Source organism: Homo sapiens, chromosome 3 (genome assembly GCF_000001405.40).
Source record: "Homo sapiens chromosome 3, GRCh38.p14 Primary Assembly".
Classification (NCBI taxonomy): Eukaryota; Metazoa; Chordata; class Mammalia; order Primates; family Hominidae; genus Homo; species Homo sapiens.
In genome coordinates this window covers 244,402-268,461 of record NC_000003.12, presented here as the reverse complement: position 1 = coordinate 268,461, position 24,060 = coordinate 244,402, and the positions used below count along the sequence as shown (strand labels likewise).

At 37.1% G+C, this 24,060-nt stretch overlaps 1 protein-coding gene across 18 annotated transcripts in view, besides 2 other annotated features; it reads right to left on the bottom strand.

The window, feature by feature from the left end:
- The window catches only part of CHL1 (cell adhesion molecule L1 like), a 212,655-nt gene that overhangs the window by 140,956 nt on the left and 47,639 nt on the right, over nt 1–24,060 (bottom strand). For 9 of the 18 annotated variants that reach the window (XM_017005566.2, NM_006614.4, XM_017005572.2 and 6 more), the window contains one exon: nt 23,770–23,849. The exons of 8 other annotated variants lie outside the window; for them this stretch is intronic. The gene's annotated coding sequence lies outside the window, so the exon portion shown is untranslated. Of the gene's footprint in view, nt 1–19,860; nt 21,895–23,769; nt 23,850–24,060 lie in introns of those variants that run through there. One more of the 18 variants, NR_045572.2, reaches the window with a different exon arrangement.
- Nucleotides 3,540–3,684: an enhancer, noted in NCBI's record as "145 bp enhancer 226 fragment used in the MPRA reporter construct; PK_construct_949". NCBI's record gives its function as "activates an SV40 promoter by MPRA in HepG2 cells {active_cell/tissue: HepG2}" and the evidence as "EXISTENCE:reporter gene assay evidence [ECO:0000049][PMID:23512712]".
- Nucleotides 3,607–3,618: a transcriptional cis regulatory region, noted in NCBI's record as "FOXA motif; enhancer activity is reduced when this motif is scrambled". NCBI's record gives its function as "necessary for full MPRA enhancer 226 activity {active_cell/tissue: HepG2}" and the evidence as "EXISTENCE:site-directed mutagenesis evidence [ECO:0005528][PMID:23512712]".

Here is a 24,060-nt window from a genome sequence, read left to right as displayed (position 1 = left end):
CCAGGTTCAAGTGATTCTGCTGCCTCGGCCTCCCAAGTAGCTGGGATTACAGGTGCCCACCACTGTGCCTGGGTAATTTTTGTATTTTTTAGTAGAGACAGGATTTCACCATGTTAGCCAGACTGCTCTCAAACTCGTGACCTCAAATAATCTGCCCATCTCAGCCTCCCAAAGTGCTGGGATTATAGGAGTGAGCCACTGTGCCTGGCCTAGTCATCATTTTCAATACATTTTCTTCATCACTGCCATAATATCTAAAACACTTTATTATTCCAAATTATTTTACCCACAGTTTGATGTAAATATACTACAGAGTTTTAGAAATCTACTTTCATTTTTATGTAAAGGATTGTATCTATTGAACATGTGTCGGGGCAAAACACATTTGAAGCAAGAATAAACAGAGAATGCGATAATGACAACAAATGTGAAGTAAATAAATTAGCAGCTGTGAAATGAAACCAAAGCATGGTTTTTCATAGGAAAGAATCATTTTAGAATTGATCATCAACACAAAGCTGATCAAACTCATTGCTAAAAATGACGATATCAAGGCAAATGCATTTCTATGGTAATTGTTACATTTTCTCCTTCAAGAAAATGCTTCTTAATTTGCTTTATATTTTGGAAATAGTTCACATTTTAAATCTATTTTCTTAAGAAAACACATCTTGAGTCTTAGGGAGAATATTTGTTGCCCAAAAACTGTATAATCTTTCACATTTTTCTTGAGCTTCATGCAACAATTTAGTGGAGAGCATCAATGAGAACCTAGCCTCACGTTTGAAATACACACACGGTTTAATTAGGTGTTAATTTTAAAATCGGTAAAGATAATGAGATATAATGTATAAGGCAATTTTACATCCTCAAAAAAGGAATTTTACAGATTTTGCTTTTGGTTTTAGTTTTTGACTAATAAAATAACATAAAATCAAAAATCCTCGTAATTTTAAGAGAACAGCTACTAGAAAACTTCTTAATACTAACATTTCAAAGGAAGTGAATGCAGTATTATGAAGTAAAATATAAATGTAAAATAGAGGAAAATGAATAATTCCACCCCACCCCAAGGCCTAAATCACCTTATGGTGGTTAATTAGGATCTTATGCAGAGGAAGTTGCTATGAGGGCAAGGAAACAAATTCTCATTAAATTCTGTGCCCACAGGTCACCAGGGAAATGATGGTGAGACTCTTCATCTTAGCATAATTTTGAACAGAAGTCTTGCTTCCAAGTAAAGCTGCTTAACAAAAATGACATGGCTTATTTGTTGAATTTTTCAATAGGCATTTATTTAAATCCTATGGTGTACTGTGAAAGAGCACAAAGTAAATAGAGCGTAGGGTCCCTACTACTGTGAAATAGGAAATACATACTGCAAAAAACAGATAAATGCAAGATTTATCAATATAGATTCATCAACATAAAAAATAATAAGGACAAATTATGCAGGTAAATGTTATGGAGGTGCTGACACGTGATTTGTGATCAGCCAGCTTCCTGCAGACTTGATTCCTAGTATTTCAAGTAAGGGGAGGGTGAAATGATTTCCTGCACCCTCAGATAATTAGGAAATCTCTCCAGCTCTTATTAACTATTGTTGTAATATCACAACATGAAGTGTAAATAATTGCATCTTAAAGTGCCCTCCACTGAACATTGGAAGTGCTGCCTTGCTAATCTGGAGAGCATCCATCCTCAACCACAATAAATTTAAGAATCTACAGTGTGCTAACATTTCTCAGGACAATGCCATTTGCTCTTGCTTTATTTGCTCAAAATGAAATGCAAGTTTTATTTCAACTTTAACCCTTTGATGCAGGAAAACCACACAATCACTATCAGACATATTGCAAAGTAAGCCTCTGTCCTGTTGTTGCTAGCACCAAAACTGGAGCTTCACGTTTTCACAGAAGAGAAAGAGCAGCCGCAGAGCAAACTTGTACCTCAGGAAAGGAGTCAGTTTGCTCATAATTTTTATTAATTCCAAAGAAACTTAAATCTAAGTAAGAACATGATGCCTGTTGTGCAGCCAGACCTTCAAAATGAGTCCCCAGCCCCCTTCTAACCAGGTTGCTTCCAATGCATCCTTCCCATGTAGAAATTGTATCGCTTTCCTTGTTAAAGAAATGTCTCCATTTGTCGCTCGCTGGTGCATCACTGCAGGTCCCCATCAGAGCCACTTGTAGGTCTTTAGACCTACAAGTTTAGACCAAGTTCCTTTAGGAACAGAGGCTTAAGCTGAGCTGACTACTCTTGTTGCTGCCACAGCTATAGGACCAAGTCCTGAATAAGTTACCAAATCCTTCAAAGTGCAAGAAAGATGGATCCTTCTCCTGGTATACATGCTTAACTGAGGATACTGTACAACAAAATTGGCCATGCTACTAACCTCACCATATTTTACAAATCTTCTGAGAGCTGCCCCCAATAATACCATCTGTCCCTAGTGGGTTAGCCACACAGACTAAGAACCACCACTGGCTTCAAAGCCCCAACCATCCATTTCTTTCTCTGTGCATGGGATGGTTTGTTTATTAGACGGCTTGTTATTTTTGGTGGAAGTTCAAAAGGTTTCCAGAATTTGAATACTGAGGAGAAATCTCTCCCATCCCAGAGACTCCGAGGTTGATTATCCCAATTTACTACCTCACTCTCCATTCCACTCCCACCTTACAAAAACCATCGAGTTTTAAAAACCTTGAAATTCCACCTTATTAAACTCCCTGCTTCACTGTAAATACAAATTCTGACATCTCCCACCCATTCCCCACATCTCCCACCCATAGGTTTTGAATGAATATGAGGATCACAGATCATTGAATAGAATTCTAGTAACATTTCAGGTGCAGTCCTACCCCTTCTCTTTACATATCATCCCCCATTGGAACTGCAGAATCAGATCAAACAGTGTTGGAATTTCAGCTCAGAAATTTAGTGCATTTTTTGACTAAAAGGTTAGTGTGAACTTCAGTTTTTCACTTGCAAACTAAGAATAATAAGACAGCACAATTATTTGAGTTACAGTGATCAGTAAGAGATATGAAAATATTATAGCAAATATTCATTGAGTGATATTATAGAAATGTTATAGCAAATTGAACATTTAGTCTGTGCACTCTAAGCACTTAACCACTATCTTCTGATTTAATCATATAAAAACCTATCAGGCAAGTATTTCCATTTTATAGATAAGGTAGTTGAGACACAGAAATGTTGAGAAATTTGGCTAAGTTCATGCAGCTAGCAAATAATGGAAGCAAGAATGTGAACCTTAGCAGTTTGTCTCTGGAACCCTCTCTCTTAGCTACCCGTTAATTAAATAACATATCCTATGAAAATAAGAAATAAACACAGCACTTGGCACACGGCCAATAAGCCTAGTAAATGGTTGTTGCCTTAGCAGTAGTAGTGTGGGAGTAGTAGTGCACATTAGACAGGTTTGATGTCCCAGTGACGTGATGTAACATCATTATTCGCAAATTTACAAAAATTACTACTTCAGAGGGCTGTGGCTCTCCTGTAGTTCTTTCCTAGTGTTCAAAATAAAGGCACTTCAAAGTGGTCTCTATGACTGACCAGGAAGCAATGACTGGAAAGGAATGTTTACACAGTGTTGTAGATGTCTAATTCACTAAGTACGCTGGTATTTTACGCAAACAGTCCATTGCGAAAGAGACAGAAGGTCTTTGTTGTCCAGAATGACACATTTCTCCTACAACTCTAAGACTATTTTATTAGTCAGATGTCCTTTGTTAAAAGACCAAGGATCATTCATTCTAAGAGTTAGATTGTGAGTATTGACTTCTAGCTTCCGAAATATTTCCAAATTCTGAATATGTCAAAGACAGGAAGTGAGAATTTACTTCTTCAATCTTTGGGTTTGGAACACAGTAGGTCCACAATATATATCTGTACCATGTATAAATGATACAGACCAGGGGCATTTTGTTAATTTGGCAGTCCTCTGCTATTTCTTAAAGAGGCGAATTCCCAGCAAGTATTCTCATTGTTGTTCCTTCAGAGTATGGCTTTCAAAACTAATTCTACCATTCTGTTATATGTTTATTAAAAAAAACTACATACTCCTATTCCTACTGAGTTATTATTTCTACTGGAATACAGAATAGAGGATCTATAAATTCTTCTTTAAAATAAGTCCCTAAGTGTAGGGAAGAAAGCAATAAAGGCAGGGGTTATGAACAATATCATTTACTGTGTGGGCTTGCTTTAAAAGTGCGTAGAGAAATAATTCATATCTCCTATTCATGTGACAGTGAGTTTAGTGTTATTTGAATAGAGTACATAAAAAGACTCCTTCAACTCATTTAACTACTAATTGGTTATCCTTACAGTAAAGTCTAAATGACAGAGTCAGAGCAAAGTACCCAAGGGACAAAGAAATGTCAAACAAAAAACTCCAAGGCATTTCTGCAAGTCTAAGACTGTGATAGTGCAGTCCATCAATACTATCCGTCTTAGATAAGCAGATCACTGGAAAGAAACACACAAGGAAAGGTCATTCTTTTAAAATCAACATTAGCATTTTGCACTACTACTATCTGGCACAGCACATGAATATATTCAAAAGGCATAGCTTATACAATTGTTTGTAGATAAGAACAGTGCAAAAATATGTGGCATAATTAAAATCATTCTTTCAACATTCCCTAGGCCAATATAGATGTGGTGAATGTTCTCTGAGTTCGAAGAGCTATAAAAATCTAAAAGTAAGATATGCAAAAGCAAATACATGCACAAATCAAAAATTTAATATAATTCATGTCTTTGGGAAAAGTCACTCTACATCAATTATGTGAATAAATCAAAGCTAGATGCAGACGCAGATACAGAGATACGTGAATGATTTGGAGCAGTGACAAATGCAAATGGAAATGAGGGATATTTTATGATGTCTTATGCACCACATCTCATCACTGTAAGTTTCCAGTAACAAATGAACATTTCATTTCCCTCACATTATTCTTTCTTAAAAGAAAACATGACAAATAAGAAACGTGTCACAAGGATACAAAGAAACAGTTGACAAAATTCAGAACCATCAGGTACAAATGAGAAATTTTTCAGTTAAATGTTCAGCAAGCACTTTGGCTTTTTTTTTTCTTTTTCCGGATTAACTACTCTAAGAGCTGCAACTCTTAATGTACCTATACCACCCTGGGGATGAGATTGAATTAGCTCTTACAACTGGCAAGGAGTTCACTTGCTAAATCACCAGCAGTCTCGGGGCACTTGAGTGGACAGAAGTTGGGGTCAATGAGTCGGCCTTGCCTGCGATGGAGCTTCAGTGCTGGCACATCTGGATTTCAGTTGAGTGCAACTTATTTAGCAGAGAAATCTTCAGAAGAATCTACTCTCCAAATTTCCCTCACTTTGCATAGCACTTGAAGTGGTCTTCATGTTTCAAGGCGATTCTGAATACTTTAGGGAAGGATCCTCTTGAAATAGCTAAACAAGGTCATTAGGAAGCTGTCATTAAGGATTAATACCTAATTGTAGTTCACCTGATAGTTGAATGGGAGGAAGGAAACTCCAGAAACCCTAGTGGGGCCAAACTCACAGGTGTGTTTTGATTAGTTTGCACAGTGATGTCTTTGAAGGCTTGAATGAACTCCCATGTCTTAAACATTATGAGTTTTAACATTAATATGCTGATTTCTGTCCTTTCTTCCAAAACTTAGAAAGTCTGACAAGACTAGTTCTGCTTTGGCACACAGCAAAATTCTTCCAGAGTTGAGCAAGGCTTTCCTGCTTTAAAACAATCCTGTTTTTCAGTGTACCAGGCCTTACCACTCCCTGTTGTCTTATACCTCTCCTGATACCTCATCCCTTAGCATTTAAATGTGTGAATCCTGCCCTGTGAGTACTGTGTAGATCTAGGCTTAAACGTGTGAATCCTGCCCTGTAAGTACTGTGTAGATCTAGGCTTAAACGTGTGAATCCTGCCCTGTGAGTACTGTGTAGATCTAGGCTTAAACGTGTGAATCCTGCCCTGTGAGTACTGTGTAGATCTGGGCTTAAACGTGTGAATCCTGCCCTGTGAGTACTGTGTAGATCTGGGCTTAAACGTGTGAATCCTGCCCTGTGAGTACTGTGTAGATCTAGGCTTAAACGTGTGAATCCTGCCCTGTGAGTACTGTGTAGATCTAGGCTTAAACGTGTGAATCCTGCCCTGTGAGTACTGTGTAGATCTAGGCTTAAACGTGTGAATCCTGCCCTGTGAGTACTGTGTAGATCTAGGCTTAAACGTGTGAATCCTGCCCTGTGAGTACTGTGTAGATCTAGGCTTAAACGTGTGAATCCTGCCCTGTGAGTACTGTGTAGATCTAGGCTTAAACGTGTGAATCCTGCCCTGTGAGTACTGTGTAGATCTAGGCTTAAACGTGTGAATCCTGCCCTGTGAGTACTGTGTAGATCTAGGCTTAAACGTGTGAATCCTGCCCTGTGAGTACTGTGTAGATCTAGGCTTAAACGTGTGAATCCTGCCCTGTGAGTACTGTGTAGATCTGGGCTTAAATATACTCAAGCTGCTAAAAATTCCCAAACTCGATTATTGACTAAAGGAAGTTATTAAGAACATATATTGTTCAATTTCTTTCCAGTAAAACATTGAAGATTGAATTATAATCAGTAACAATTGTACTTCCCAATTATTATCTTTTTATTCAAAATTTATTTCTCTTTATAAATACTGAGGAGAGGATTTTGAGAGCTGGTTGTTAAGTCTGTGGCTTATGTTTCTAAATACTCATTCTATCTTTGTGTTTCAAATCTGACAGTTACATTAATAATCAAAGAGCCATATAGTTTTTAAAGCTGGAATGTTTCAATAATATCATTCAGCTCTAATTCATATATTTTACAAGTAAGATCTTAGCTCAATGAGTTTGTGACTTTTTGAGGCCAAACAGGTAGTGAATATAAAATTTAAAGATAGAATATGATTTCTTAACCTCAGCCCAATGCTTACTTTTAAGTAGCAACTGGCCTTATTTTCTTCCACGATGCTTCATAATAGAAAAAATAATATTATTTTCTGAATTTGAGAAGGCTCTCTCTCCCTCCTTCCTTCCTTTATTTTTCTCTTCTCCTCTTTCCTTCTTTCTTCCTTCCCTCTCTTCTTCCCTCCCTCTATTTTGCTCTTCTTCCTTCTTTTTTAAAAAAGACCAAGTACTTTACTTGGAGGTAAAAAAAATAAATTAGTAAACATGATGCTAAACAGATCAGGGGCTGGCTTCACTAAGTAATTTTTATGTAACTTTGATTACACTTGGGTTACACAGTCTTGGCTCTTCTTTTTGTGCAATGATCAAGGGTAAAGCCATAGGGTGTGCCCTTCTGACTAGCTGAGAGGCAGAAGTAGTGACTAGTGATGTTATTATAAGGTTTAACAGCTTAGGTCATCATTCAGAAGAATCTCATTTATGTCTGCAAAAAATCAAGTAGAATCAATTTAATAAACAATAAATAAGGCCGACGGAATGGCTTCTCAAACTGTCCAAAAAAAACCAGGCTAATTTCTGACAATCTGGTGGTTACAGAGCTGCTGACGCCTTGTGGAAAAGTCTGAGAAAAAATAATCTCATTTAAAAACCATTTGGCTTCCTTAATCTTATTTGTTTCTTATTGCTCTCCTCCCTTATTTTGTTAGTAATGAAGTTTATAGGGAAATAAGAGTTTCTCCTTCCAAGGAAGGTTTTTATGTAGACTTTTTCTTTCCACCTTTAACTTCAAAGATTAGCATTTTGAACAAATTTCCCAAACTACACCCCAGCTGTGTCAATTTGGTAGCTTTTTGAAATGCTCTACCTGGGTCTTGTTTGGTAAGCTATGGCAGTCTGCAAGTGCCTGTGCCTGTGTGAATCTGCTGTCGTGCTGGTATCGGAATGTTATTTAGGACCTGGGAGTGAATCCTCAACCATGACATCATCATAGTCGAAACAAGGTTTGAATAAGGCCCTTTTACCTCTGTAAATAATAAACCTACATTATAGCAAATTTTATGTCTTAATAGATAGTGATCTCCAGTTGGCCAGTAATATGCAGTTGACTTAAAATATACAGTCAGCATAATTATATTCTAATGCCTTGATACAGACTTATGTTTTCCTTTAAGAATGTAAAGGAAGATGGCCATTTTTTGATTTTTCAAACATTTATTTATTTATTTATTTGAGACAGAGTTTCACTCTGTCACCCAGTCTGGAGTGCAGTGGCACCATCTCGACTCACTGCAACCTCCACCTCCTGGGTTCAAGTGATTCTCTTGCCTCAGCCTCCTGAGTAACTGGCATTACAGGTCCGCGCCACCACACCCAGCTAATTTTGTATTTTTAGTAGAGACAGGGTTTCATCATGCTGGCCAGGCTGGTCTTGAACTCCTGATCTGGAGTGATAGGCCTGCCTCGGCCTCCTAGAGTGCTGGGATTGCAAGCATGAGCCACCATGCCCAGCTGATATTTCAAAAATTTACTCATTACACTTTATTTTCAGTGTTTAGTGCACTGAGATTGTGTGCACTTTCAGTCTTGCTAAAATTTTAGAACACAGATGAAACACTAGAAAAGTAAGTTAAACGGGCCCCATGACCAGAAATTCTAATTCTGTAGGCCCAGCTTGGGACCCAAAAATCTGAATATGCAATCACATCCCAAGTTAGCCTTTTACTTATTATTCAATTGTTCATTTAATAAACTCGTTGTGACAAATAGCAGTGGTAAAAAAACAAAGTACCTCCTTTCATGAAGCCTTGTAATACATAAATAAAAAGATATAAAATGCTTGGAAGTAATAAGAGCTATGAAAAAAATAATAAAGCAGGGTAAAGCAGATAGCAAGGAATGGTGGATGAGATAACAAGCAATGGGACATACAGGAAAGGCCTCCCTGATAAGATGATGCTGAAAAGTGGCTCAAGGACCAAACTTTGAAAAAATACTTTTTTAAAAACAGGCTAAGGAAAAATAAAATTGATGCCTAGCTTCTCAGCTTGAACTTGGGGTCAGACACTTCATATATTTTCAAATTTCCAGTTTCTCTTTATGTTTAACTGTTCGTATTTCTCTGCAATTCCTATCTCCTGCCCCACCCCCACTATATCACACACACACACACGCATGCACACACACACACAAGCACGCACACACACAAGCACACACACGCACGTGTGCACACACACACTACAGATACACATACTTTTATTAGAAAGACATTTGCAGGCCAGGCATTGTGGCTCAAGCCTGTAATCCCAGCATTTTTGGAGGCTGAAATGGGCAGATCACTTGAGCCCAGGAGTTCAAAGCCAGCCTGAAATGTGGTGAAATTCTCTCTCTAAAAAAAAGACATGCATGGTGGCATGTGCCTGTAATGCCAGTTACCCAGGATGCTGAGGTGGGAGGACCACCTGAGCCCAGGAAGTCGAGGCTGCAATGAGCCGTGATCAAGCCACTGCACTCCAGCCTGGGTGACAAAGGGAGAATGTCTCAGAAAAAAAAAAAAAAAAAGATGTTGCCATACGTTTAAAATAAAGGTGTGTGATAATTGTAGTACCTTCTTTATAAAAAAAAAAAGGGGACTTAGTTAATAACAATGTGATGAAATTGCCAAAAAGTTAGTAACCTTAGGGTATGGATAAAGAAGTATGATATCTAGAACAAGAGATGCAATTGTCTCACTTTCGTTTGTCCCACTGAAGCAACACCTGGAAAATTGTATCCAAGTGTAAATGCTTCTATTTAAAACTGATTCAGACAAGCTGAGCTTATTCAGAGGCAAGGTCCGAAGATGGAAAAAGGGACTGACATTATCTCATGGACGGAAAAGTTGAAGGAGCTGGAAATGTTTTCTTGAAGAAAAAAATGGCTCAAGTAAGACATGAAATCTATCTTCAAACATGTGAAAGTAATAGAACAGGGTTTCGATTTTAATTTCCATGGTTCCACAGGGGAGAACTGGGGAAAACAAATGAAAATTCTTGAGAGAGAGATTTGAGGCTCCTACAAACATGACTCCAAGCTTGGACTTGAAAGCCCCAAGAGGGAGAGATGTGGAAGTAGATGTTGGCCACAGATTGCAATGGCAATACCCTTCAGTATCCCAAGAGTGGTTGAAGTGAAGGACATCTGAGGTCTTGTTGCCTGAAACAACCTATAACACATGACTCATAATTCTATGATTCATAATAATATGATTGATTTCCCCAAGACACAATATTCTCTCTTAATCTGAGAGGCCTTTCAAACCAGAGGTCATGTTGCTTCTGCCTGGACAGACAGCCATGGGGGAGCAAGTGAACGTTTTAAATTGATGCAGTTGGCCATTAAAAGGGCCCTGCAGGTGTTTTCAAGGTTTGCTCCCTCCTTTGGAGACTGTCCTCTTTCAGCCTTCCTGCGTCACCTCCCATGTGGTCCCACAGTTATGCAAACACATCCAATCCACCGAACATGCTGCCTCTTCCGGAGCCATTCAAGCTGCAATCTCCAGATTCCATCTTCTCCTTCAAGATGAGACAATGTTAACAAAACAAATAAATTCAATGATTTCTTCGCCTATTTAAGTGACATGATTATGATTTTTTTCATATCTGTACGCTACTTGCACTTATTTGTAATTGGCTTACTTTTCTATTTAAATTAAAATATCTTAATATGTTCTCCACTGCTATAAACAGGAAATCAACACTACTTTACATAAAAAATACATGAATTGAAATAAAAACAATTTTAAATAGACCTGTGGCAAGCTGAATCTCTGATTTTGAGGTTTGCTGTCTCTTTATGAAAAAGAGAGCCAGGCACAGTGGCTCACACTTGTAATCCCAGCACTTAGGGAGGCCGAGGCAGTAGATCACCTGAGGTTAGGAATTTGAGACCAGCCTGGTCAGCATGGTGAAACCCCATCTCTACTAAAAATGCAAAATTAGCCAGGCATGGTGGCAGGCACCTGTAATCCCAGCTACTTGGGAGGCTGAGGCAGGGGAATTGCTTGAACCCGGGAGGCGGAGGTTGCAGTGAGCCGAGGTGGTGCCACTGCACTCCAGCCTGGACTACAGAGAGAGACTCTGTCTCACAAAAAAAAAAAAAAAAGAAGAAGAAAAGAAGAAAAGGAGATGGTGTTAAAAATTAGTTATAAAATCATGATAGCACAAAACCAGCCTTTGACTCTACCTGAAATATTGAAAGAATTAAGGGAAAGAGAACTAAATTTTTTTTAAATGCTTTATGTAAGTTTATTATTTAATTATATCTTAGATTACGTATGATCATTTGATATCCCTTCAGTATTTTCCATCCCATAATCTGGTATATACTGAACTAAACAAAGCTAATGCCTCCATATTTGAGGTGACATGAAGCCATACCACTAAAGATACACAGGTGGACAAAACTTTAAGGAATAACTAATTAGAGAATGTGAGACACCATGGAAAATCCATGGAGGAGGCATCTTTAATCCTTACATATTAGGTATCCCCTTGAATGGGAATTTCCATGGAAAGGCAACCACAGAAATACACAGACTCGTGTCTTTGCTCCTAAGCAGCCCACTTTTGCCCAGATTCCAAGGCTGGTAAAATAATGTTGTCTGATTCAAATCATGCCATCACTCAGTCATCCAAAAACATATTTAGCAACTACTGCATGCTGAGCAAGCTCCCAGGCGCCAGAAATACAATACCAAAAAGATACATATGAATCCTCCCCTCGTTCCCAAATTTTCATGGGAATTTTATGGGCCAGGATGACTAATACAATTCTCTAAGCCAGAGTTTCTCAACCTCAGCATGATTCCATTTGGGGCAAGATAATTCTTTTTGGGCATTCAGTTGTCCTGAGTGTTGCAGAACATGTAGCAGCATCTTTGGCCTCTACTGACCAGGTGCAAGTCTCTCCCTCATTAGCGTTAACAGCTAAAAATATTTCCAAATGTTACCAAATGCTCCTGAAGGGCGAAATCACTCCTGGTTGAAAACCACTACTCTAAGGCCTTTTTCTCTGGTCCAAACCAAAGGTACTGAGTTGTACAACTCTAGATAATTCTATTCATATTTATTCTGTGTTAAGTTACCACTTAGAGTGGTGCAATAGCTGTACATCACTCAAAAGGAGGAGCTCTGCTTTACCATGCTATAAGTAAAAATTGCATGCTATGGTAATATACAATAATTTGGAGATTTCATGAAGTGCCAGAATACAGACTACCTATCAAAGTCATACTATATTTTTAAATTTCATTTATCAGTATTGTTTCACTTTCATGTTTCATCTCTTTGTCAGGCACACTTATGCATACACAGAAGCATGAAACCTCCTTACTTCGCTTAGAATATGTTTAGCTCTAAGCAGAACTCAAAGTGAGGAACTAAAGGCATTATTGATAGATGCTGTAGATAATTATAGGTAACTCACTATTCTTTGGGGAATGGGAGCATGAATCCCAGGAATTTTAGAAAGTTGAAAGTGTGGAAGTAGGCAAGGTAAGAAATATCCTCAATCCACAGACACCTTCCTTTTAGATAGTGTAAAAAACCGATGGTTCACAACCCTAGTTGTCTTACAGGACAATGGGTAGACATTAAAAAGAGCAACTACCACGACAAACAAAACAGCTACCTGGGCTCCATCCACTGAGTTAGAGTATCTGTCCAGGGATCCTTAGATCTAAAATATGCTACGGGCAATGGCAATAGGCAGTCAAAGGCGAGAACTACTGTTCTAGGTTGTCAGGAAATACTAGGAAAAAACTATGCAAGAAAATAAAGCTTGAAGTACACAGATGATCCATTTATCTTTGCATTTTTTAGATTTTAGATACCAACTTGCATCCATTGAGCACAGATACTTGCCCAAAATAGAATAAAAATGCTTAGTATTTAGACTTTTTCCCACACATACAGCAGTACAGTTTAGTGTGTATGTATGTATACACACACACACACATACAAAGACACCAAAAGGCTGTCAACAGTGTGTATCTGAGCCTCTCTGTGACCTAGAAGTTACTGAATTCTAAGTTACTTGAATGATCTCTAATTGTAAGTCAATGCAGCATAGAAATCATAATCACTTAAAACGTCTGGAAAGGTTTTTATGATCACATGAAACTCTAGGAAGTCTTCCCTGTTGCCTTTGAATCCTAGCAGCTGGGACTCCAGTCATTTCAGTGAATAAGAAAGAGACTTTTTAACTACAAACAACTGACTAACTGCATAACAACTCTAACTCAAAACATCGTTTTGCCAGAATGCAACCACTGTTTGAGACTGTAATTATGGTAGGAAACCAGTGAGCAGGTTAAGAATGAAGGGGTATATGAATAACATTCTGAAAGGAAAATTAATCTTTCAAGTCTTGAATTCAAATACAAATTCATGCAGCAAAAACGGGCCCCAAAATTCAGAACAATTGTAGCTAGAGATGGAGATAGGCAAATCCTGGTATCTGAGGAAAGGGTAGGGACAATAGGAAATATAACTTTGGCTTCTTTGCATGATGGTAGGGTTTGAATGCATCCCTTCCCAAATTCAAGTGTTGAGACTTAATGGTCAATGTGATAGTATTAACTGGTGGGCCTTTAAGAGGTGATTAGGTCAGAAGGGCTCCTCCCTCATGAATGGGATTAAGGCCCTCAGAAAGGCCTTAGAAGAGGCTTCATGCAGGATTTAGCTAGCTTGCCTTTCCACTTTCCAATATGTGAGGCATGGCTACCTCCACTCTGAAGGAAGCATCGAGAAGGCCCTCACCAGATGCTGATGCCTTGATCTTGGACTTTCCAACCTCCAGAACTGTGAGACATAAATTTCTACTATCCACAAGGTATCCAGTCTGTGGTATTCTATTATAGCAGCACAAAAGCACCAAGATACGTGGCTTATAAGGCCCTGCATAGTCTGATGTCTGCTGCCCTGACAATCATCTCATCACAAGCTCCCTGTATCCCAGCTAAAAAACCTATCTTTAAGACCCTAGAAAATACCTAGCCCTTTCTCAGATCATACCTTGGAACTATACTTCTCCCAGTTTCAGTGGGTATCAGCCCACTTTACCTCCTTAGAGAGGCCATGTCACTAGCTTGGGCAGAGATATTTGAAAATTACCATAGCAGGTTGGTTTCCCTGGGAAGAAGAGTCTTGTTTATTAGTGAGGGATGTGAGATCAATTTATGGGAAAGGGGTGTTCGGAAGCAGGAGTTGTCCAGAGCTGAGCTGATGGTGTTGGGCCTTTATAGGCATTAGATGTGGGCTTCCCTGGAAAGGGGACATGACATTGCACAAAGGAGTACTCTCTTCCACTGAGGCAATCCCTAAAGCAGGGCTAACATGTTAAGTGCTAGCTACTGGACACATCCCAGCAGCTGGGGAAGCAGCTGGTTCTCAAAGGTCGGTCTGAGCAGAGAACCAGGAGGCCACCAATTTGACTTTAGCTCTTTGTCCCTCCATTTGTGCATTCGTAAAATGGAGATAATATCATCAAGTTCAAAATGTATATAATATCTAACATGATGGCTAGCTCAGTGTAAGTTCTCAATAAATGTTAAATTTGTGTCCTTTTCTAGTCTATTCAGGAAGAAATACAGATGCAATTTTAATTCAGGAGCACTTTTAGAAAAGTGTCACTTTCTTTCTCTTTTTATCCATTTATTCGTCCAATATTTACTGAGAACCTAGTAGGTGGTAGAGGTTTTCCAACAGCTGAAGAAAGAGTACTGCAAGTTTTTGTTCAAATAGAGCTTACATTTTAGTAATTGGGAGAAACAAAATAAACATATAAATAAATAAGTATTAAGATACTGTTGTGAGTAATACATGTTAACTTGAAGACAAAGAAATGTGTCTTTAAGATGTTGTATTATTGGATTACATTAGTGGGTCACAGGAACCCAAATCAAACTAAGCTAAACTAACAAGTTATGGAACTTTATTGGCCCGCATACAAAAACTACAGAAAAGGTAGAGAGGGAACCAGCTACAGGGACCCCTGGATCCAGAAACCCAAACACCTCTGAGACTTTCTTGCTTATTCTTGTTTCTTTCTTGCTTACGTACTGGTATAATTCTCTGATACCAGCTCTGTTACTTCAGCATCAATTCAATAACTCCTCAGAGAAGAACTCTAAACAACCTAACTCGCATTAACTGTCCCATCCTCTATAACTATGGTGCTAAGGGAGCATAATTGGTTCATAACGAGATACATCACAGCCATGGCTAGGGCAATAAAAGCATTGTTAATCATAATATTGAGAGTTTACCATGTGTAAAATATAGTACAATTATAGAAATGTGTCTATTAAAAATAAACTCTGTAAGGACTACTATCTCCTCTTTACTGATGAGAAATTAAGGCTCATAAAGATTAAGTAACTTGTAAAAGCACACATTACTAGTAAGTATGGAAGGTCAAATTCAAGCCCACTTAAATCACCTCTCCAAAGCATATGTTCCTAAATACTAGATAATTAGGCCATGCTAATGTTCATTTCTATATAGTTACATTACAGTAACTATAATTATTTAATTACCTTAATTAATCCATGCTAATCAGTCTTCCACCCAAAATGAAAGCATGATAATTGGACATTCACTAATGAAAAGCGTATCTATACATAGGCTAACAAAATGGGAAATATTATAAGAAACAAATGGAAGGGTAAATGAAAATAAAATACCATTGAATGCTATAATCATTGAGGACAATCAGACCATCAGACATTTAACCAGATTTAATTCATGTCAGCACTCTTTCATTTGATTGGGTAGGTTCTTCCTTACCTTGGAAAATCAGTAAGGCAATGCAAAATAAGAAGTTAGAAGATATGAGATATGAGATCTAATTTTCACTCGATAAATATACAATCGAACTTGAATAAATCAATGGCCCAGTTTTCTAACCTATAACGTAAGGACAATAGCACCTGGTATACCTATTTAATATATTCAATATGTGTTTCCTAAGGTAAAAATAAAGATAAATATGAAAGCACTTAAGAATATTTATTAATCAAAACATGAGTGAGATTTTAAAATACCAAAATAGAAATATATATATATATATATATATATATATATATATATATATCTGGATGCTTTCTTAAATCTGTGGCTCTACAAAGAAAGATTAAATGTTTAACATAAATATAATCAGAAGCAGGCTTTGTATAGCTAAAACAATAGTAATTTAAGTGAAATATGAATAGAGTCAAGAAGAGGCTCCAATCAAACTAAATATTTTTATGTTTAAATAAGTAACAAGGTGTTAAAAATAGTTTTCCCTTTTCTAGATTTAGAAATGTAATAAAATTTTACTTTGGCCACAAGAATCTTCAAAAGATTATTCTATATTTTATAAGAAACAAGTAACACAAATTTCTGGTGGTCTCTAAGTTTGTGGTGGTTGGAAAGTTTAACCTTATGGTTGGTTTATTATCATTTGATTTTGCAGTCCTTGGATTTCGATTTCCAACTCAGCTTGATATTTTTAGTTGAAAAACTGAATTTGTTTTAAACAGGACTGTAAAAATGTGACAATTACAAAAGGAATGATTTGAGAAACCAACCATAATGGGAAATTAAACATCCCACTGAAACACTTTAAAGGCTTTTTAGTAGAAGAAATATGTGCTATAAAATTGAATCTAAGATAATAGAAACTTCTAAGTGTGGATTAAAGAAATATAAGTAAAATCGCTAACGGGTGGAATTATGCCTCTTTTAAAAAGTCTACTTTCCAAAAACAACACTTTTTCTAACTTTCCAGGATATAGGCTTCCCATGATATCTAGACAGAAATTTCCAGCTTTACATTTGCTTGCAAAATCATGGAAATGTAGAGCTGAAAGAAATCTTGAAACCATTTAATCCAACATCCCCCATTTTAAAGAAGTGTGAAATTGAAACTCAAAGAGATAAAATGGTTTGCCTAAGATCACATTGCAAATCAGCACTATGTTGATGACACTGATAACAAACAGTAGTTGAGATGATTATCTGAGATAAGGATTATGAGCCCACTTTACGGATTAGCAGCCTCAGGTTCAGAGAGGTTGACTAGTTTGTCCAAATCTTCAACCGAAAAGTTGCTGAGTTAAAGCTGGAACTCATATTTTTCTGGAACTAAAATCCATTCTCAGTGCATTATCTACAGCACTGTCTGTCCTCTGCCTGAGAGGTGGACTAATTTTTTACCTCCCCAGCACAGATGGATTCCACATCTATCTCAAGAAAAATGAAAGCATTCTAATAAAGTTCCCAATCAAATGGATCCTTCTAGTCTTACTTTCTGGTTTAGTTTACTTCTCAACTCTGATCAGGCATTTGTTGCTCAGAGAAGCTTTCTCTGACCACCACAGGTCAAATCACCATATTCTGGCGCTTATTAGAGCAGCAATTTTACATTTGTTTGCATTATAACTTGAATAACATATCTGCCTTTATAAGATTATAAGCTTCATGAGGATAAGAACTGTGTCTCTCTTTGCGACTGTATCTTCAACCCTGTGGCTCTTAACAGCCACACAAAAACAATCGTTGAATAAATGCCTTTGAAAATGCTTAATTCCTACAAACTAATAGGGCACCCTATAATTAGACAACTAGAAAGACATTTCATAAGAGGATTACCTTCCTTTTCACTGTCATTTTACACATGGCACAGGTTTAAAATGTCATAAAATATACAAAGCATAATGACAGGAGAATATAATAAATAGGAACTGAAAGAGATCAGAATATGACACCCCAAAATATGCCACTTTGGCAATAAGGTTTACTTTGAGCTGAAGGCAGTCAGCAAGCAGCAAACACAGAAAGAGCTCTTTGCCTCCCCACTATAGGCCTAAAAGGAGGACATACACTTCCTTTTGTGAGGGTCTTCCCCGTTCCCACTGCTGTACCAGGAGGACAACCACTATCACTGGAGATAGAAACTCAGTACTGAGATAGATCTGCACAGACAAATCTTACTAAAAATAACCCTAATCTTCCACTAGGTTTGCCCATATACTTAACTTCTCACAATTAACTGCTCCTAGAAGCCTAAATCTCTTTTCCTTTGTCTTGTCACTTCTACACAATTTATCACCCTTAGTTAAAATAGTATACAAACCTGGTCTAATTGCTTTTTTGATTTTCACTTCTTTACTATGACATCCTCTCCGCATGTAAAAATTAAATTACTAATATCAAATAAAATTTGTGGCTTGTAATCCCAGCAATTTGGGAGGCTGAGGCAGGAGAATTGCTTGAGCTCAGGAGTTCAAGACCAGCCTGGGCAACATAGTGTGACCCCATCTCTATGAATATAAAAAATTAGCCAGGTGTGGTGATGCATGCCTGTAGTGCCAGCTGCTCAAGAGGCTAAGGCAAGAGAATCATTTGAGCCTGGGAGATCAAAGCTGCAATGAGCTATGATTGCACCACTACATTCCAACCTGGGTGACAGAGTGAGACATGTCTCAAAAAAAAAAAGTATGCTTTTTTTTCCTATTAATCTGTCTTTTGTTAGTTTAATTCACAGTCCCCAGGTACAGATTTTAGAAGAATAGAGAAACAGGATTTTTTCCTCCCCATATAATATTCATACAGAGTTAGGGAGCTGGCTATATTCACAGTATGTACTGAAACAACAAAAATTACATAAGGCTTGATATAACTGGTTAACAGGAAGTTAACAATTAGTATGTTACCATGGACCAAAGTCTGTGACCAACTTAAATTCAATAGGCAATAGTCTCTCAAATATACAATTATTTACCTGCTGTTTGCAACTGTGAAGAGAATCTTAATGTATGCATTTGAAGGGCTACAAATAAAGGGAAGCAACTGCAGCAAAAGGCACTGCCTAATAATGCCTGTTTGCAAATAAGTTACTTAAGCCAATAGTGCCAGTTTCTCACTCTTTCGAAGGTAGAACTCAAACATGCCATAATAAAATTCATTTTCATTTTTCTAATAATGCATGCTATCCTTAAGAAAGGTAGATTACATTGCACAGGGTTCTTAGTGAGCTTTGACATGTTTCTTCTTTTTTCCCCTTTCTTCTTTCTGATTTTTTTCCCTCCTTTAGGGTGGGGATGTTGTGGTAAATGTGAAGTCACTAATCTTTGATCTTTGTGCATGAGGCTTCCTTCCACTGCAAGTCAATTATGACAGACTAAATTAGCCTTTGATCAGAGGCTTTGATTTAGTTTTTAATGCCCTGCTTCATCACTAGGCTCTGAGATGTGTCTGCTCTTTGCCCTCTGCAGTTGTGTTGGTGATAATAGTGATATATTTCGCTGGTTTGTTTCCTTTCCAAGACCTCAAATATCTGCCAAATCTCTGCACGCGTGTGCAGTCCAATAAAATCCACTGTTTAGAAGAGATGTCTGTGATTTGTGTCAATGTTTTACATGGTATTTTTCTCCAGCAAGAATTGCCTTAGGGCAAAAATAGCATTTTCTTGAGGAAACACAATTTTCTCCTTTCATTGGATTTTGCTCTGAGTTATTTGTTTAGCTGTGCTACATATTTTCATGGACATTTTATATGTGCAGTCTGTCATGTTGCTACTTGAACAGTCCTTTTAAATGTCAATATAAGATTAAAAGTGTCTGCTTATGAAAGAGATCACCCAAGTTTTGCTGGGTTTCAGTATCTTTTATTCTTTAATAATTTAATGGTGATTATAGTCAGTCTTTTCTCTGCAATGCAGTAGCAACTGAGGAACTGTTTTCTTTTGATGAAATGAATCTGCCTTCTGAATTTGGAAAGAAAGAAAAAATTAACTTAAAAAAAGGCTATGAAGATTGAGCTTGAGCCTATTAAAATCTTACAAACAAAAACAGAGGGACAGAGGAAACTTTTGGAAGTAATAAATACATTTATTACCTTGATTGCAGTGACAGTCTCATGAGTCCTCGGATATGTCCAAACTCATCAAATTGTACACATTAAATATGTCGTTTGTGTATCAGTTATACCTCAATAAAATTATTAATAAAAACCAATAGACTGACAGTAACAACAAAAACCTACAAAATGATCACAGACCTATGCTTTAAAATGTAATTCTTCATATAGTGCTCATTCTATAATCTTTTGATTTTGAGATGTCATTTTCCTAGTGACTTAAAATCTACCTGTAGCATTATAATGAAATATAAGTATACCTCAGCTTCCCTTCGGAGACCTAACTGAATTTTCATGCCTTGGAAATCAAATTTATTTGTGTACTTGATTTGAGTAAAAGCAACTTCAATAAAACTCCAGTTGAAACAAATGCATTTTTGGCACCTCAATACCAAAATTATGTATGCAATTTGGAGGTAATCCAAAGAACAGCTGAGAGAGGATGAAGGGAATGGGGTGTTTGGCTAAGGAAGAAATGTGAGGCTTCTGAATGTCCCCAGAGTGGGTGAACAACAAGAAAGGAACATAACAGCCCATAAATATTTAAAAGGTAAAGACATCAAATATGGATAGGAATGATTAATTCTGGGACAAGGGCATGGAGCTAGTTCTGCTGCACTCATATCCTCATATCATGGGAAAGAAAAAAAAAGGATATGGGGTAGCATCATTGCTGAAGAGCATACAACTTCGATTATTTATGCACAATGTTCTAGCATCCAGTGGAATCTTTCATCACCTCTGAATGCATGTGAAGAGATGTTGAAAATCTATGCATATTTATTTAACAGAGGTGAACTTCTTGACCAGGGTCCCACTTGGCTATGTGGGGCTATCAGAAACCTGATAGTTAAGGCAACATTAAGACGCATCAGTAACCATGTTTAAGTGTAAATGGAAACTCTTAGCAAGACTGCCAAGATAGCAGGATCCAGAGAGGCAATCTCAGAACTTCTCAGCACAGAAAGTGTCCAGAAAGTGATCTATCAGGAAAATCTTTCCCTCCTTCTGTTCCTCTCTTTCTTCTTCTTTCTCCCCACCTCTACACTTACAAAGCGTCTAATATGCCCCAGATTGTGTTCTCAGAGGTAATGATGAAAATAAAAATTTAACTTGAACTCTGCTCTCAAAGATGTGTTCATGAGACCAATGTGTAGAGAATTAATTTCAACTGAGCATGAAGCATGTAAACGGAGATAGAAGGAGACAGAGGCAAGATTGGTCAAGCAAATTGCATTTGTGCCGTATGTGCAGCTCATTGTCCTGAGAACATTTAAAAAGGAGGATTTGGTTAATCGTGTCCTCCTCAGGGTACAGGAGCCAAGCCCTGGTGTAACTAAGCATTTGAATGGTCTCTAGCAGTAGATTTGTGTGTCATTGGAAAATAATCAATATCTTTATAAAAACTTCACAGACCACCAAGAGAAGGCAGCTGTTAACATCTCATAGGATAGAACTTTTTTAAGACTGAAATGAAAATACTATTCTCTCTTCTCTACTCTCTTTATGTCTTTGACATAAAATAAGTCATCCAAATCCATAAATCAGTATGAGATGCAGTGTGTAGAGATAAGTACCATCAAGCAGTCTCGGCACATTACCCAAGGTGACCACACAGCACATGTTTTATCATGATCTTCTGCAGCAAAAATGTAGTCCCTGTCATTCAACTACTTAAGCCTTCTGTTAAGATGCATGGATAACATCGCTTTTGGATAAATTATACATAAATGTAGCAATAATTGAAATGTTATATACAAATATGTATTCATCTGATAGGCACAAACTCAATCTCATAAGATTTCTAACAGTTAAACTGCTTATTGTGCCCTAAGTTCAGATAAATTTGGGTGTTGAAACCTGTAAAAACAAAATTAGCATTCATATGTTGTAATCTAATCAGAGCTTGAAGATTATTTTACTCCATCGTTTTAAAATTCTTGAGAGGTTGGGTATTCTGGGAGGAAATTTCCAAACAAGAGATTCTGAAAAGAAAAATGAAGATTAGGTAAATGCGTGTTTGTGTGTGGGTGTGGGTATGGGTGTTTTATGACTACGATTCCACAAACCCTTCCTGGAACCTGATGGCTGATTTCCCTAGCACAATGAAAACTGACGGTAAGGGAACTTATTTTGTAGAATTAAATAATGATTTCATCAATCACCAAGAGGAACACAAGAAATAAACATAATTCAATAAAATACAGGAAAGAATGCAGGGCTACGAGCAAGAAGGGTGTTTTGCGGGTTACCATCCATTTTCATAATGTCAAGAGAAATAATTATTAATACATCATCATGACACAACCACAATTACAGTTTCTCATAGTAGTATGATAATCTCTTTTTTAAAATTTAATACCCTGGGTATTGTATTTTGTTCATTACTATCTCAGAAGATTTACCTATGTTTCTTATGAACTAGAAATTCATTTAAAGTGAAATCATAAAAGTGTTTTAATGGAATAAATGTATCCCACACAATCATCATCAAAGGAATTGATTAATCAGGTTTTGGGAAGAGTTTTCTCTAAGGATATTAGAATATACTTCAAACCATTTTTAATGTTACAAGAGACTTTCAGATGCCCTGTGGTTAGAAAGTCTGTATGGAGAACCCCTCTTGGAGAAAGTTCCCAAGTGAAGATCTAAAAATAGTGGAGGGCAAAACCACTCCAGTGGATGAGAGAAGAGATCAAATGTTTTTCAAAGCACAGAGAGTTTCTTCATAGACTTATTCTTGGTATGGCCTGCATTCATTTAGAAGGCCGCTGGGGGTTACCAGGAACCAGGTATGCTAACAGTAACCCATAAAGCCAAGATTTTCTATCTCTTTCCACATGGTCTTCATTATTTTATATTTGTATTAAGGTCCCATTTGCAACAAATGCATAGAAAAAAATTCTTCATGCACCAAGTAATATCTTATTTCTTCTGGAGTGCATATTCTCTTGGTGACATAATGTGCTCCTGAGAAAGTAAGAAAACCATTCTTTCATCATTGAGAAAAAAATTACTCGTTTTTGTTTTTCCTCCAATTATTTTGTCTTTAAAAACTAGTCGTGATACTAATTATTGGCACTTACTGAACCAAACACAATGCTATGGACCAAACCCAGTGCTAATATTCATTATCGTAATAATCTAATTTAGGCTGCACCTGTAGGCAGTTACAACTATTATTCCAGTTTTATGATTTACAAAATGGGTCATCAAAATAGCTAAACAGCTTACCTAGAACTACATCACTGTGTGTTTGGCCCTCCTTCCAATGTGAACTTTTCTTATTGTTCCAAACTCTTTGAAATTAGTTATAATTCAGCTTGGTGTTGCACAAAGAATTTGAAAAAACTCCAATCAAGGATTCAGGTCAGATTTCAAACGGATTCAAATTCAAGGAACAGTGACTGAAGCTGTAAGTCGTTCAGACTATGAAGCGTGAGCTCTGTTAACCCCCTGAAAATACAGGTTTTCTCACTGAAACTTCAAGCCTCCTTAGAAGTCAACCTTCTCAAATCTCAGTGGTGAAACTATTTTTTTCTATTAAAAATGACATTTTGATAAATATTATAAATATGCCACTTTCAAATATGCCAACAGGTCAGCCAACAAGAAAAATAACTTTAAGGTAAGGGTTTTGCTCTTTCAAAAATAAACCAGCAATTTAATGGAACTCAAAAAACAAAAAAAACCTTCACTATATGATATATCTGGTCCATATCTACGCTAAGACCGTAGTGAAGACAAAAGTTCTGCAACGTCTCCTTATCCTTATCTTTTGTGACTCCTGCCCTATGTACTGCAATAATTAAATACAATCAAAAATGCATAAAACAACTGATTAAGGAAAATACTCTTACCAGTAAATTAAGTTCCCCTTAGTTCCACTATGATTTGTTTGCAGTATTAAGACAGGATTATGGTTTGCAGTTTACAGCACCTAGGGATAGATTAGAAAGTTGTAATTTTGGAAACAATTATCATTTGAGTCACTTTTAAATTAATTCTTACATTTTCTGTTTAAAAAAATGGATTTAATTTTTCTTTCTCCCCACACCCCTCAAAATTTCCACTCAAATACCTAAGCTATAGTATTGCTCTGTTGCTAAAAAAGGGGTCCTGCGAATTTCTGTCAAGGAACAAAAGGAGGA